We start from the raw sequence: 17,836 nt of genomic DNA on the forward strand, positions 1-17,836 counted from the left end.
TCCTTCAAGTGTCTTAGGTATTGAGAAGCGGTAGATAGATTATTTAATAATCCATTTCCCCAGGATGGCACCTAGAGAAAAAGAAGATTATCCAGCCACCAAGAAATGCCCAGTTCCTCTATTTCGGATGAACCTGACTTAATCAGGAGTAGAAGGCACCTTTCTTCTTTTCAGAGTTACACAGGGGCCCTGGGTTTCCTGTTGACATGAAGATATTCGCATCCTTCACAAACAGCTTGTCATCTGTTCCACTTTCTGCTCTTAGAGGTGAAATAGGAAGTTTCTTCTTTCTTCAAAAGATTAAGGAAACCACTGTTTCCCTTTTGAAATGGGGAAAGATGTGTGACATCTTCATGCCCTCAGTGTCAGTCCTCTGAGCCTAAGCTAAGCCATAGCATCTCCTGTGACCTGCACTTATACGCCCAGATGGCCTGAAGTAACTGAAGAATCACAAAAGAAGTGAAAATGGCCTGTTCCTGCCTTAACTGATAACATTCCACCACAAAAGAAGTGAAAATGGCCGGTCCTTGCCTTAACTGATGACATTACCTTGTAAAATTCCTTTTCCTGTCTCATCCTGGCTCAAAAAGCTCCCCCACTGAGCACCTTGTGACCCCTACCCCTGCCAGCCAGAGAACAACCCCCTTTGACTGTAATTTTCCTTTACCTACCCAAATCCTATAAAACAGCCCCACCCCTATCTCCCGTCATTGACTCTCTTTTCTGACTCAGCCCGCCTGCACCCAGGTGAAATAAACAGCCTTGTTGCTCACACAAAGCCTGTTTGGTGGTCTCTTCACACGGACGTGCATGAGATTTGGTGCTGTGACTCAGATCGGGGGACCTCCCCTTGGGAGATCAATCCGCTGTCCTCCTGTTCTTTGCTCCATGAGAAAGATCCACCTACGACCTCGGGTCCTTAGACTGATCAGCCCAAGGAACTCATCTCACCAATTTCAAATCGGGTAAGTGGCCTCTTTTTACTCTCTTCTCCAACCTCCCTCACTATCCCTCAACCTCTTTCTCCTTTCAATCTTGGCTCCACACTTCAACCTCTCCCTTCTCTTAATTTCAATTCTTTTCATTTTCTGGTAGAGACAAAGGAGACACATTTTATCCGTGGACCCAAAACTCCAGTGCCGGTCATGAACTTGGGAAGCCAGCCTTCCCATGGTGTTTAATCATTGTGGGGACACCTCTCTGATTATTCACCCACATTCGATTGGTGTCTGATCTCCACGGGGACGCCTACCTTGATCATTCACCCACATTCCCTTGGTGGCAAGTCAATCGCGGGGACGCCTGCTTTGGCTGCTCACCCACGTTGCAGCCCAGGGCTGCTCCCCACCCCCTTTTCCATGTCTCTACCCTTCTCTTTAAACTTGCCTCCTTCACTATGGGCAAACCTTCCACCCTCCATTCCTCCTTCTTCTCCCTTTGCCTGTGTTCTTAAGAACTCAAAACCTCTTCAACTCCTGCCTGACCTGAAATCTAAGTGTCTTATTTTCTTCTGCAACACCGCTTGGCCCCAATACAAACTTGACAATGGCTCTAAATGGCCGGAAAATGGCACTTTTGATTTCTCCATCCTACAAGACCTAAATAATTTTTGTCAAAAAATGGGCAAATGGTGCCTTACATCCAGGCATTTTTTCACACTTCATTCCCTCCCTAGTCTCTGCTCCCAATGCGATTCCTCCCAAATCCTCCTCCTTTCCCTCCCGCCTGTCCCCTCAGTCCCAACCCCAAGCGTCGCTGAGTCTTTCCAGTCTTCCTTATCTACAGACCCATCTGACCTCTCCCCTCCTCCCCAGGCTGCTCGTCGCCAGGCCAAGCTAAGTCCCAATTCTTCCTCAGCCTCCGCTCCTCTGTCCTATAATCCTTCTACCACCCCCCCTCCTCACACCCGGTCCGGCTTACAGTTTAGTTCTGCGACTAGCTCCTCCCCACCTGCCCAACAATTTCCTCTTAGAGAGGTGGCTGGAGCTGAAGGCATAGTCAGGGTACATGTACCTTTTTCTCTATCAGACCTCTCTCGGATCAGTCAGCATTTAGGCTCTTTCTCATCAGACCCCACTAAATGTATACAATAATTCCAATATCTAACTCTGTCCTGCAATTTAACCTGGAGTGACTTAAATGTCATCCTGACTTCTACCCTCTCCCCAGATGAACGGGAAAGAGTTTTTTCTCTAGCCCAATCTCACGCTGATAACAACCGGCTTCACGAGCCAGACCTCCAGGAAGGCGTTAGAGCAGTTCCCCGAGAGGATCCCCAGTGGAACTATCAGGCAGATTCCCCAGGTACAGCTAGGCGAGATTACATGATTTCCTGCCTAGTTGAAGGGCTTAAAAAGGCAGCTTACAAAGCTGTTAATTATGACAAGCTTAAAGAAACTACCCAAGGTAAAGACGAAAACCCAGCCCAGTTCATGGCCTGCTTAGCAGCAACCTTTAGACGCTATACTGCCCTAGACCCAGAAAGGCCAGAAGGCCGCCTTATTTTTAATATGCATTTTATCACCCAAACCACTCCTGACATTAGGAAAAAACTTCAAAAATTAGAATCTGGCCCTCAAACCCCACAACAGGAATTAATCAACCTCGCCTTCAAGGTGTACAATAATAGGAGGTAGCCAGACAGCAACACATTTCTGAGTTACAGCTACTTGCCTCCGCTGTAAGACAGCCCACAACCACGTCTCCAGCATACAAGAACTTCAGAACATCCAAGCCACAGCTCCCAGGGGCTCCTTCAAAACATCCTCATGGGCCTTGCTTCAAATGCCAAAAGCCTGGCCACTGGGCCAAGAAATGCCCACAGCCCGGGATTCCTCCTAGGCCGTGCCGTGTCTGTGCGGGCCCCCACTGGAGGTCGGACTGTCCGACTCACATTGCCGCCGCTCCTAAAGCCCCTGGAGCCCAAATCCAATGTTCCTTGGCTGACTCCTTCCCAGATCTCCTCGGCTTAGCGGCTGAAGACTGACGCTGCCTGATCGCCTCAGAAGCCCCCTGGACCATCACGCACACCGAGCTTCGGGTAACTCTTACGGTGGAGGATTCTCAGCCGTATGAAGACACCCTAGCTGGACGATCAGTTCTTGTTAAGAATCTGACCCCTCAAACTCTACAACCTCGATGGACCGGACCCTACTTAGTCATCTATAGTACCCCGACTGCGGTCCGCCTGCAGGATCCTCCCCACTGGGTTCACAGTTCCAGAATAAAGCTATGTCCATTGGACAGCCAGCCTAATCCGTCCTCTTCCTCCTGGAAGTCACAAGTACTCTCCCCTACTTCCCTTAAACTCACTCATATTTCTGAAGAACAGTAATAACCCTTATAAGCCTAATACATCCCTTCATTCTATTAGGTCTGTTCATCCTTACCCTACTTTTGCAACAGGGCTTTATGCAGTCACCCCCACTACTTACACCGGGCCCCAAAAACTAGTCATCCCTACTCTCTTCTGTCTAGTCATACTCCTATTCTCCATTCTCAACTACTTATAAATGCCCTACTCTTGTTTACACTGCTGGTTTACACTGTTTCTTCAAGCCATCACAGCTGATATCTCTTGGTGCTATCCCCAAACCGCCACTCTTAATTCCCTCTTAGAGTGGATAGATGATCTTTGTTGGCAGGAGACCCTCCAATACTTTCACCCTGATGAAGTTCTATTCTTTACTTTTATTCTTTACTTTTATACTCACTCTTATTCTCATTCCCATTCTTATGCCACCCTCTTCCTCTCTCCAGCTATCTCCACCATACTATCAACCTTACCCTTTCTCTCCTAGCCATTTCTAATCCCTCCTTAGCGAACAACTGCTGGCTTTGCATTTCCCTTTCTTCCAGCGCCTACACAGCTGTCCCCGCCTTACATGCAGACTAGGCAACATCTCCTGTCTCCTTACACCTCCGAACTTCCTTTAACAGCCCTCACCTTTACCCTCCTGAAGAACTCATTTGCTTTGTAGACAGGTCCAGCAAGACCTCCCCAGACATTTCACATCAGCAAGCTGCCACCCTCCTCCGCACTTACTTAAAAAATCTTTCTCCTTGTATCAACTCTACTCCCCCCATATTTGGACCTCTCACAACACAAACTGCTATTCCTGTGGCTGCTCCATTATGTATCTCTCGGCAAAGACCCACTGGAATTCCCCTAAGTAACCTTTCACCTTCTCAATGTTCTTTACTCTTCCTCTCCAAAGCCCAACTACACACATCATTGAAACAATTGGAGGCTCCCAGCTCCATATTACAGACAAGCCCTCTATCAATATGGGCAAACTTAAAAACATTAGCAGTAATTATTGCTTAGGAAGACACTTACCCTGTATTTCACTCCATCCTTGGCTACCTTCCCCTTGCTTGTCAGAATCTCCTCCCAGGCCCTCTTGTTGTTTATTTATACCCAGTCCCGAAAATAGCAGTGAAATGTTGCTCGTAGACACTCAACTTTTCTCATACACCATGAAAATCGAACCTCCCCCTCTACACAGTTACCCCATCAGTCCCCATTACAACCTCTGACAGCTGCCACCCTAGCTGGATCCCTAGGAGTCTGGGTACAAGACACCCCTTTCAGCACTCCTTCTCACCTTTTCACTTTGCATCTCCAGTTTTGCCTTGCACAAGGTCTCTTCTTCCTCTGTGGATCCTCTACCTACATGTGTCTACCTGCTAATTGGACAGGCACATGCACACTAGTTTTCCTTACTCCCAAAATTCAATTTGCAAATAGGACCGAAGAGCTCCCCGTTCCCCTCCTGACACCGACACGACAAAAAAGAGTTATTCCACTAATTCCCTTGCTTGTCAGTTTAAGACTTTCTGCCTCCACTGTTGGTCTCGGTACTGGAATAGCAGGCATTTCAACCTCTGTCACCACCTTCCGTAGCCTCGCTAATGACTTCTCTGCTAGCATCACAGACATATCACAAACCAGTCCTCCAGGCTCTTTAGCTGCAGTTGTCCTCCAAAACCGCCGAGGCCTTGACTTACTCACTGCTGAAAAAGGAGGACTCTGTATATTCTTAAATGAAGAGTGTTGTTTTTACCTAAATCAATCTGGCCTGGTGTATGACAACATAAAAAAAACTCAAGGATAGAGCCCAAAAACTTGCCAACCAAGCAAGTAATTACACTGAACCCCCTTGGGCACTCTCTAATTGGATGTCCTGGGTCCTCCCAATTCTTAGTCTTTTAATACCTATTTTTCTCCTTCTTTTATTCGGATGTTGTATCTTCCATTTAGTTTTTCAATTCATCCAAAACCGTATCCAGGCCATCACCAATCATTCTATACAACAAATGTTTCTTCTAACAACCCCACAATATCACCCCTTACCACAAAATCTTCCTTCAGCTTAATCTCTCCCACTCTAGGTTCCCACACCGCCCCTAATCCCGCTCAAAGCAGCCCTGAGAAACATCGCCCATTATCTCTCCATACCACCCCCAAAAATTTTCGCCGTCCCAACACTTTACCACTATTTCATTTTATTTTTCTTATTAATATAAGAAGACAGGAATGTCAGGCCTCTGAGCCCAAGCTAAGCCATCTCATTCCCTGTGACCTGCACTTATACACCCAGATAGCCTGAAGTAACTGAAGAATCACAAAAGAAGTGAAAATGGCCTGTTCCTGCCTTAACTGATGACATTCCACCACAAAAGAAGTGAAATTGGCCGGTCCTTGCCTTAACTGATGACATTACCTTGTAAAATTCCTTTTCCTGGCTCATCCTGGCTCAAAAAGCTCCCCCACTGAGCAACTTGTGACCCCCACCCCTACCAGCCAGAGAACAACCCCCTTTGACTGTAATTTTCCTTTACCTACCCAAATCCTATAAAACAGCCCCACCCCTATCTCCCTTCGCTGACTCTCTTTTCAGACTCAGCCCGCCTGCACCCAGGTGAAATAAACAGCCTTGTTGCTCACACAAAGCCTGTTTGGTGGTCTCTTCACACGGACGTGCATGAAACTCAGAAGGATTATATCCATTTTCTCTTGTCTTCCCCACAAACGAGTGAGACGAAGAACAATCCCAGGGATTTGGCTACTGAAGGCTGGAAAAGGATGGCAGGGCCCATTCATACTCAGCCATCACTCATGCACAAGGGCAGCTCCCAGCCCTCAGCTCTGGAGGGATGGGGAGGGCTCGTCCTCCTGGGCTGTGCTAGGAATCTGCTTGGTACCTTGGAGGACTCCCTCAAGCTGAGTAAAAGAGCAGTGAGTGTTCCTTCCATTTTTGGTAGAGAATTAAAAATGAAGTACTTGAACAAGCTGGACATTTGAGTTCCACTTGTCTTGCAATGTTGAAGACTCCTAATTTAGAAACATGGATCTAGGGGACAAATGATCACACAACTTGCAATGGAATAGCATGCAATTTTTTTTCCAACAATCACAGTTAAAATAAAATCAGTATAAAGCTGCCAATTTTTCTTTCTTAGAAAAAACTGTTATTTTCTTTAGAGCATATTCTTTCTCTTTTGTGGGGAGGAATGTCCTTCGACTTATGAAATTAATCATAACTAATGTATGAAATTAATTTCATAAGAGGAAGGACATAAGAAACATGAAATTTGCAAGAGCTGTTTTAGGTCCTAAGGAGTTGACAGTGAACAAAACACAGAACATCTCTAAGCATGCAGAGCAAATTCTTTTTTTTTTCCCCTCCAGAATAAAATGTAGCTTTATTATGACATGGGAAAAACTACAAGCCATTAGGGGAGGAGGAGGAGGAGTCAAATACCTCCTCAAAATGACAGGGAAAAGGCAGATATTAACACCTTGGTAATGAAGTCTTCAACCAGAGCACAGTCATTGGAATTTTTTTCTTACGATTTTTGTCTTCAAAGCTACAGTAAATGAAATAGTTAGTTGAATTGTAAAAAGAACAGAAATTTTACTCAATGAAAAGCATACGCACCAAGCCAAAATACAACAGTGCTTAGGCATATAGTCCAGGGACCCTTCTAGTGCTGGATGGGGGAACCCAGGCCCTCGGCGAGGGGTTGGTGGGGCTCAGGCTGGAGGGAGGCTGCCTATGTTCCCAGCATATGACTTAGCTCAAAGCACAAGAGCAAATTCTAGAATACAGAAAAAGGCAGATATATAATGCCATGCCAATAGTAGTAAGTGCTTGAAGAGACTTGAAGCAGAACCAGGAGCTCAAGCAGTGGGACTCAACCTGGAGCCAATGCTGTAAATACCTGAGAGCTTTAAAACATCCTGTCACCTTGGTTCTACTTGGAGGGATTCTATTCCAGTTGGTTTGGAAAACAGCTTGGAAATATGGATTTTTAAGCACTTTGGGTGGTTCTAATGTACAGCCAGCATTGAGAACCACTAGGTTGGAGAATGACAAAACACACTATTTTAGGTGGGAAGGTAGACTGGGTAACATGAGGAGAGGTATGAATGAAGAGAGAGAATGAGCTAAGAGCATATCTCAAGTGCATTCAGCTAGGTGGACCGCACAGACAAGTCCTGGAGTGAGTGGATGCTTGGCTTGCCCTGGGAAGAGGAGGGAGGTAAGTTTGGGTGGTGCAGAATGAGTGAGGGAAAGAATGGTGTAGCATTAGACTGGAGAGGTAGACAAGGGCCAGGTCATTTAGAATCCTGTAAGGCATGGAAATAACTCAGGTTTATTCTAATGTGATAAGAAGTCATAGGGGGATTTTGAGCTGGGTGGTGAAATAATATAATCTATATTTTGAAGAATTACTCTGACAGATGTATGGAATATAGACTAAATATCAGGTGCAAGAGCAGAAGTAGGGGATCAGTTAGGAACCTACTGCTGTAAATCTGGCTAGAAAGATCAGTGGTTTAGACTACAAGTGTTAGCAGATGAAGGTGTGAAGTGGTTGGACTGGAGAGAATTGGAGGAGGCAGAGCCAAAGGAATTTGCTCTTAAATTGGATGTTGGATATGGGAGAAATAAAGGAGTAGGGCTGACTTCTAAGGCTTTGTCTTGAGCAAATAGTTTTTGGTAAATGGTGGGTGCCATTTATTAAGTTAGATGACATTAGTGAAAAGGTTTGTGTTGGCAGGAAGGGATCAAGGATTTAGTTTTACATGTTGATGTTTGAGGTGAAATAATGCCGGGTAGTAAATGGTAGATTTTTGTTGTTGTTTTAAATATCCTCAATTAACAAACAGTTGGTAAGGTTGGTCTCTTAGTTTTAAAAGTTTTAGTATTCTGTAAATATTTTAAGACAGTAACTTTGTGCTGTAGAGCATAATTAGAAAATGTATTCGTGTTTATAGAAATCTCCTGGTAAAACTTGTCTAAAATACATTGGAGCATTTCCAGCTTTAAGAAATTAATGATCTTTCTTTGACTACACGACTGAAGTCAAGTGTTCTTGGTTTTATTATTTCCCTGAAGTATCTACATTACGGCAGAATCAAAACATTAATATTAGATTTGGGGAATTTACATAGAAATAAATTCATTAGAGTGGCTGGACCAAATCCTTTTAGTTTCATGCCATTGTCTGTGTGTAAAATTAAGATAACTATGACATTATGAGACTTCTGTGTCCAATGTAAGGTCTCAGAAGATGAAAATCAAGAATTTATGTAAACTAGAAAAAAAAAACCTTCTCTTTCAGCACCATGGGTGATACCAGAATATAATGTGTTATAAATACTCAGAGATGTTATAAATACTCAGAGATGTTGTTAATATTTAGTAAAGTCATACTGAATGTCTGAAATTTCTCCTAATATTTGGCCAAAGGAACAATAAAATAATTGCCTATGATGTCAGTGGGCATATTGTGAATTTGAAAGCTTCTGAGCTGGGTTCCCCCGTGGCTCAGAATGTCTGCACAAGTATCAGAATCCAAAGTGTGCATTACATCATCTTCCAAATGGCAGTGAAATGAAGACTCTTTTCATGTTTCTCTAGAGATAGAAGCAAGAAACTAATTACATTCTTCTTACAGAAAAAAAGAAAGCAGAAAAGTGAAAATCAAAATTTCCAAGAATCTGGATATCCTTCACTGAAGCTAATTTCTTAATATCCAATTATCTTGTTTACTGTTACTGGGTATACAGGTCTCTATCTTGAAAATGTACTTGGCAAAATTGTAAAAGCAACAAAAACCACCACTTGGGGACAGAAACCACATTTTGTAATTTCATTTATTGCTAATTTGTTTGAAATGAAATTATAGCTCGTTGTCATATGGACACCAGTGAGATTAAAAGCATGCTCAAGTTGTGCCTATTTGAGTCAACATTTTGGGTTATTTCAAGGGTCTCTTCATAAACATAAATACTGTGTAAGTAGCCATGCATTATTGAAGTCCCTACAATATTTTTTACATCCATAATATGGTTTTTGATGGATTTCTTTTTACGGATTTATGACATGTGTTCCCAAAGCAAAGCTCTGTATGTTTGTTGAGGAACGTTAGAAAAACACACAAAGCCTGCTCCATAGAGGCCTCCCAAAGGTGCCTGAAAAAGATATTGGGAGTGACAATTCCTAGGGATTTCTGTTCTTCCTCTGCCTTAGTTATCAGTTTGCTGCCTTTTTTTTTTTTTTTTTTTTTGAAACGAAGTCTTGCTCTGTCACCCAGGCTGGAGTGCAGTGATATGATCTTGGCTCACTGCAGCCTCCGCCTCCTGGGTTCAAGCAATTCTCCTGCCTCAGCCTCCTGAGTAGCTGGTACTACAGGTACCCACCACCATGCCTGGCTAATTTTTGTATTTTTAGTAGAGACAGGGTTTCACCATGTTGCCCAGGCTGGTCTCCAACTCCTGACCTCAACTCCTGATCTGCCTGCCTCGGCCTCCCACAGTGCTGGGATTACAAACGTGAGCCACTGCACCTGGCCAGTTTGCTGCTTCTTTTTTGTGATCTTTTCACAATCTTGAGAGAAGTTTAAAAACACAATATTCCTGACTCAAGCTGACAATGAAATCCTGCTGGCAAAAGAAAAATAGGTCTTAATGGAGCTACATGAGTCATATACAGACACACAGACGTGTGCACACACGTCTGATAAAAATGGCTAACATATGTTTAGCATTTCCTTTTCTTTGTTTTTAGCATTTAATCTTGAAAATGGCTGTATGATATAGGCATTACTATTAGCCCCATTTTACAGATGAGGAAATGGGCCTTAGAGATTAAGTAACTTGTCCCAATCTATCCAGCCACTAAGTGGGGCAAGTGGAAACTCTGTCATAGTTCTCCAAACAGGCACATCTATAAAACCTCCCAAGAGCAGCCAACATACACTCCCAGGCTTCTGGGTTCATGAGTCAACCCAGAAAGGTGTACAACACCAACACCTCCTCTTCACCAACTTTAGGACACCCATACCACATTGCTAGGCTCTTGGGTAGAGAATAATTAATACCTGTTCTTAATGAGCAGTATCCCAGAGGCTTGAGAGTTAAAGATAATTAAAGCTAGAAAGACTCAGCCAACTAACACCATTTACTTACCTGGCAAAATCTGGTCGATGGGAAAAAGGAAAGAACAATAATTGTCTAATAAAACTACTCTTCCTTTCACTGAAAATTAATTTGAAAAAGGATTGAACTTTTAGTATATAAAAAACAGATTTGAAAGGGATCTCTAGAATCAACAACAGATCAATTCTGGTTTCTTTTTGTTTTAAGTAAATTCTTGAACCCGAGTCTATGTTTTAACATTTTACATATTGTCAAGTTTCATCATAGCAAAATTTGGCTTGCTTTCGGGTCTTAAGCTTCTCCAGTAGGAAAAGTGTTGTCTTGAAAGCATTTCTAGCTAAAAGGCTTCAGCAAGCTCTGGCAACAGTTTGGAATCATGAACAACCTTGTTCTTTCTCAAACTGTTCCAATCAAAAGTCATTTCTTCTACTCCTTGCCAAATGGCCAGGCTACTCTAAAAGCTGCTGCCTCCGAGAATTCATCTCCAGTCAAATTTGCCTTGTCACCTCTCCCGATTAATCTTGGTTCTCTACACCTGAGAAGGGACAGATCCAGAGGCTGGTAATATACTTAGGCAGTATTTTCCCTTCGGGCTGCCAGCCTGAGGCAGGCCCAGGTGGGTGGTGATTCAAGTTGAAACTCACTTTGGCTTCATCCAAGCTTTTGGTTTTGACTTGTAGGAAAACTTCTTTGTAATGTGTGCCAGGGAAATGCAATTAAAAAAATAATAATAACAATATGCAGCGAATTGTCGTATAGAAGTAAGATTGCTTTGTAGTCCTTTGGCTGGGATGTTTCAAACGCTATTACAAGGGAAATAATGTAAAATTTAGGAACATTACATCCAAGGTTTTGTTAACACATACCCTTCTTAAGAAGACTGAGATTTAAGCACTCCTTTTAAAGAACTTTGAGGCCATCCTTGGGCTTCGCAAGAAGTCAGTCCACTTGCTGCTGCTACTGTTGTTTTCTCTCAAGTCATGAAAGGACTGGAAAATGATGAATCACAAACCAAGAAGAATCTTCTGATTGTTGTCTTCATCATCTGCCACAAGACTATGTGACTATATAGTATCCTTAAAAATTACCGGCCAGGCGTGGTGGTTCATGCCTGTAATCCTAGCACTTTGGGAGGCCAAGGTGGGTGGATTGCTTGAGCTCAGGAGTTCGAGACCAGCCTGGGCAACACAGTGAAACCCCGTATCTACTAAAATCCAAAAAAAAAAAAAAAAAAAAAAAAAAAAAGAAGCAGGGCATGGTGGCGTGCACCTGTAATCCCAGCTACTCAGGAGGCTGAGATAGGAGAATCACTTGAACCTGGGAGGCAGAGGTTGCAGTGAGCCAAGATCGCACCATTGCACTCCAGCCTGGGTGACAGAGTGAGACTCTGTCTGAAAAAAAAAAAAAATCTACAAAAGGAGATTCCATGAATTTCAAGATTGATTTATATTTTACTCTTTTTTTTTTTTTTTTTTTTTTGAGACAGGGTCTTGCTCTGTCACCCAGGCTGGAGTGCAGTGGCATGATCACAGCACACTGCAGACTGGACCTCCTGGGATCAATCAATCTTTCCACCTCAGCCTCCTGAGAAGCTGGGATCACAGGTGCACGCCACCACGCCCGACTAATTTTTGTGTTTTTTGTAGATACAAGGTTTCACCATGTTGCCCAGGCTGGGCTGGTCTCAAACTCTTGGGCTCAAGCAGTCCTCTTGCCTCAGCCTCCCAGAGTGCTGGGATTACAGGTGTGAGCCACTATAGCTGGTTGATTTTTAGGTAAATTTTTACATGAAACAATATGGGCCCAAATTGTTATCAGGATCACTTTATTTCTCTTTTTAACTCTTATGACCAGTTTTTATATATGGAATGAGGTGGACAGTTGTAAAAAATTATTAAACCAACCATCACAAAAATTTTTTAAAACAGGAGTTATTAAAATGATTGCTTCAACTCTCTACTTGTTAATATAATGCAGACATACCATTTGTAGCCCAATGACATATACTGCAGTTCTTGTTTCTCTAGTTAATTATTTTATAATTAATATTTTAAAGTCTATCTAAGGCTTATAGGTCCTGAGAATGTGCATGATAAGAATCTGCTTGAATTAAACTAAAATTTATTATAAAGCATGTATACAAGTTAAAATTTATTGTTAATAAGTTAATACTTTAGGTAGAATTATTTGGTGGGTATATGGATGTTCCCTGTAAAATTCTTCCCACTTCCCTGTCTATATGAAAATATTTAAATAATAAAAAGTTGTGAAGAAAACCAGGCTAGATGTGCCTGATGGGACCTCTCCAACTTTCCCATTAGATTACCCAAGAAGATACACAAAAGGACAAAAACTGGAAACAAAACTGGAAACTAAGGGGGAGAAAAGTCTGCAAAATTGAAGACAGTTCCCACATTTTCCACTATGCTATCATTGGAAAGGGGGAAAGGGACATGTTCTGGGACTATATGTGCTGTGAACTGTAAATTAGAGCAGCAGGAATAACAGGGATAAAGAAAGAAAAAGGCTTTGACTCACCTCAGCTGGCTGCATAGAACAAGGAGCTCTCTTGACCTACAGCCTCAAAGAGGCATTCAACTATCTCCTTGCCATATATGGCTCCATTATAAGCTGGCCAGAGTCATGACCCCTCTCCACTGATCCAACCCTGGCCTCTCCATAACTGCTCTTCTCTGTGTCTATTCCACTTCTAAAACTCCTGATATGCCTAGGTGCAGTGGCTCACGCCTGTAATCCCAGCACTTTGGGAGGCTGAGGGGGGCAGATCACTTGAGGTCAGGAGTTCAAGACCAGCCTGGCCATATGTTTAGGTTAATTTGGATAATTTCAATTGACTTGTCTACAAGCTCACCGACTTTTTTTTCTTCTGTTATGTCCAGTCTGCTAAGACCACTGAATGATTCTCATGTCTGTTATTGTACTTATTATTTCTACATTTTAATTTTTTTATCATTTCCAGCTCTCTTTGGATATTACCTACCTGTTTTATGCCTGTTGCCCATTTTTACCAACTAGATTCTTTAACATATTTATTATAGTTATTTTAAAGTCCCTGTCTGATAAACTCAGTAACTGAGCCATCTCTAGGTTTGCTTTTATAGACTGTTTCTTTGTTCAACCATAGGCCATGTTTCATTACTTTTTACACTGAAATTAAGAATTTCTAAATACATCATAAAATAAATGAAACTATATACTAAGTATTGGAGAAGACATCTTCAACTGTATAACTGACAGAGGAGTGGTATTCAGAACATTTAGAGAACATCTATGATGGAAAAAACATAGAGAATGCTAAAAATGGACAAAAGACCCTGAACAGGCACTTCACAAAAGAGGAAATCTAAATGGAAACTAGGCATAAAAGGGGCTTATTAGTGATCTCATTAGTGATCAGAGAAATGCAAATTAAAATCACAATGAGATACTCCTACAACATCATCATATAGGTGACTTTTGAATTTCACTGTTTATTAGCTTGGCATCTTTTAAATATCTAGACATTTGGTATGTGGAGTTCCACTTGTTGAAAATGGTAGGAGAGATTGACCATCAAAGGGATTTTGGTAAATAATTTTGGATTGACAGAAAAGTTGCAAGAATCATACCTTTCTTTAAACCATTTGATTGCAAAAATTTAAGATCTCACCATACCAAGAGTTGGCCAGAATGTTGAACTGCAAGAACTCACATGTACAATGGATAAGAGTTTAAATTTGTACAACTACTTTGCGAGATGGTTTAATTCTATATGGTAATGTTCAAGATATGCCTACCCTGTGACTCAGAAGCTTCACTCCAAGGTATACCCTAGATACATGTACAAGCATGTTCACAATAGTGTTGATAAAATTGCCCCAAACTGGAAACAACCCAGATGGTTATTATCAGCAGAAAGGACAAATTGTGGTATTTTTATAAAGTAGAATCTAATACAGCAACGAACTTGGATGCATTAAATTTGCACACAATATGTATGCATCTTATTAAAAATTTTAGAAAACAGCCAGGCGCGGTGGCTCACGCCTGTAATCTCAGCACTTTGGGAGGACGAGGCGGGCAGATCACAAGGTCAGGAGATCGAGACCAGCTTGACCAACATGGCGAAACCCCACCTCTACTAAAAATACAAAAATTAGCTGGGTGTGGTGGTGCACACCTGTAGTCCCAGCTACTTGGGAGGCTGAGGCAGGAGAATCGCTTGAACCTGGGAGACAGAGGTTGCAGTGAGCCAAGATCGTGCCACTGTATTCCAGTGTGGCGACAGAGTGAGACTCCATCTAAAAAAAAAAAAAAATTTAGAAAACAAAGTACATATGGTAAAACTATATATTTTAAAACAAGCAGGAAATGATTAGTGTAAGTTGGGATAGCAGTGATCTTGAATGGGTAGATGGGTTGGGAGTAGGAAGGACTGCACTGATCAGTTGCTGCAGTGCTAGAAAATTTCCATTTTGTGACCTATATGATGGTTGCACCAGTGTATGTTTCTTCAACTAGTTGTTAAACTATACATATACATTTTATATGTGAATAATATTTCACAATAAAAAATGTATGTTTGTATGTGATCGAGAGAGACTGATTTTTGGTTTGGCATATGTGGTCCCAGTAAACTTGTTCACTGAAGCATGAATTGCTAACAACAATAAAGTTTTTACTGCTTAAAGAAAAGGAAGTAGGACTACAGGCGCGCACCACCATGACCAGCTAATTTTTGTATTTTTAGTAGAGATGGGGTTTCACCATGTTGGCCAGGATGGTCTTGATCTCTTCACCTCATGATCCACCCGCCTCAGCCTCCCAAAGTGCTGGGATTACAGCTCGGGAGGCTGAGGCAGGAGAATCACTTGAACCTAGGAGGCGAAGGTTGCAGTGAGCCAAGATCACGCCACTGCACTCTAGCCTGGGTGACAGAAGGAGACTCTGTCTTAAAAAAAAAAAAAAAAAAGAAAAAAGAAAAGGAATTGAAGACAAGAAACTCAACATTCAGTTACAAGAAGAGAAGTCATGATGGTATAGTTCAAAGGTAGACAAGGATTGACATAGCAAAGGGCTGGTGAGCTCAAGCACTGTCTGTTTCCTCCAGTGACATCCTCGCCCTTCTTTATCTGTGCTGAAGTTTCCTATGTTCATAGTGACTTCAAAGTAATTATAAAGTTTTCTCCTAGAGGTAGAAGATACCAGAACAGAATATTTCTGTTTTCCCAGCTGAAGCCTCCCTCATTATGGAGAAGTTAATGAATCACATCTGCTCACTCAGAATTTTACTATGCCTTTGAAGTTATGAATTTTCAAAGTACAGTAGCAAAAAGGAATAACAGTATAATTTTGGGTTATGTTTACAGAAGTTAGAAGGTATGTATTCTGAATTCAGGGCCCATACACTGCTACAGGAGTACTACATTCTTGGTTTTGTCCTTCACAGTTCTAGAGACAAGCTACAATTTGTAGCTATATATAATAAATTTCTAAGTTTTAATAATATTAAGAGCTGGTTGTCAAATTTTTGACCCCTCCAAGAATAAAAAAAAATAATAAAATTATCTCCCTACATACACACACCTAAAACCCTCATTAAAACTTCCTATAACTGGAACAAGGGTGGCTCTAACTTCTCAGAAAGGAAGAAAAGATCCTTATGTTCTGTATGAACAAAATTACAGTGAGTATTCAAATAAGAGGAAGTTAAGGGAACTGAAAGATCCTTTCAAGGAAGAATGAATAGCTAAGAGTTAACGAAGGGAATAAGTACATTCATTCAGGTCATGACATTGCTAATTTGGAACAAGTCGTCTTCCAATGTTTAAAGTAATAATCCTGAAGAAAAGCACATTAAATCACAGTAATATGGCTTAAATTACAGTAATAGGTGAAATTAGGCAAGAAAAAATAATGGCTAATTTTGAAAAATCTGTCCAGGATGATTAATTACATTATGAAAATGAGTTTTTAGGAAATGAATGATTTCCCATAGGCATTTTTGCAGGGCAGATACTTTCTGATTTGGAGAATACCAGCAGGCTAAGTCAAGGATTTCTGCGCCTTTTCTGGAGTCTGCAGGCTGGGTTACAACAGGTCAGTATCTCCAGTTTTCTTTTGCACTCCTGCAACAGAGAAAAGGGAAGTAAATGCAGAGAACTGGAAGAAAAGGAGCACAAACTATATTTTTGTGTACTCTAAGTGTAAAGAACTCTTAGGAGTTGGAAGGTGTATTAGTCAGGGTTCCCTAGAGGGACAGAACTAATAGGATATATGTATGTATGAAAGGGAGTTTATTCAGGAGAATTGACTCATGTGATGACAAGGTAAAATCCCATGATAGGCCATCTGCAAGTTGAAGAGCAAGGAAGCCAGTGGTGGATCAGTCCATGTCCCAAAGCCTCAAAAATAGAGAAGCCAACAGTGCAGCCTTCAGTCTGTGGCCAAAACCCCGAGAGCCCTGGCAAACCACTGGTATAAGTCCAACAGTCCAAAAGCTGAAGAACTTGGAATCTGCTGTTTGAGGGCAGGAAGCATCCAGCATAGGAGAAAGATGAAGGCCAGAAGACTCAGCAAGTCTGCTCTTCCATCTTCTCCTGCCTACTTTATTCTAGCTATGCTAGCAGCTGATTAGATGGTGCCCACCCAGATTGAGGGTAGTAGGTTTGCCTCTCCCAGTCCACTGACTCAAATGTTAATCTCCTTTGGCAACACCCTCACAGATACACTGAGGAACAATACTTTGTATCCTTCAATCCAAACAAGTTGACACTCAATATTAACCATCACAGAAGGCTTGGATCGTAGATACTTTTCTTTTTTTTTTAAGACAGAGTCTTGTTCTATTGCCCAAGCTGGAGACCAGTGGTGCAATCATATAGCTCATGGCAGCCTCGAACTCCAGGGCTCAAGCCATATTTCCATTTCAGCCTCTTGACCTCCTGAGTAGCTGGAACCAGCTAATTAATTTTTTTTTTTTTTTTTTTTTTGTAAAGACGGGGTCTTGCTGTGTTGATCAGGCTGGTCTTGAACTTCTGGGCTCAAGTGATCCTCCCACCTCGGCCTCCCAGAAAGCTGGGATTACAGGTATGAGCCACTGTACCTGGCTCTCTAGATACTTAATAGGTGCAGGATTTAAAGTAAGACATTTAACCTTTATAGGATTTTTTTTTTCTTTTAATCTGTAAAGTAGGCTTAAAGATATTTATTTTATTTACATCATTGGGTTGTTGGAAGGATCAAATAAGTTATGTCTTGGGCTGGGTGCGTTGGCTCATGTCTGTAATCCCAGCACTTTGGGAGGCCGAGGCAGGCAGATCACCTGAGGTCAGGAGTTGAAGACTGACCGGCCTGGGCAACGTGATGAAACCCCACCTCTAC

At 42.0% G+C, this 17,836-nt stretch overlaps 1 annotated feature.

The window, feature by feature from the left end:
• Nucleotides 223-816: an enhancer, noted in NCBI's record as "OCT4-NANOG hESC enhancer chr10:27754098-27754691 (GRCh37/hg19 assembly coordinates)". NCBI's record gives its function as "activates a minimal SCP1, AML or CMV promoter by ChIP-STARR-seq in naive H9 embryonic stem cells {active_cell/tissue: H9 hESC(naive)}" and the evidence as "EXISTENCE:reporter gene assay evidence [ECO:0000049][PMID:30033119]".

The sequence above is a fragment of the Homo sapiens genome, chromosome 10, assembly GCF_000001405.40.
Source record: "Homo sapiens chromosome 10, GRCh38.p14 Primary Assembly".
NCBI classification, from domain to species: domain Eukaryota; kingdom Metazoa; phylum Chordata; class Mammalia; order Primates; family Hominidae; genus Homo; species Homo sapiens.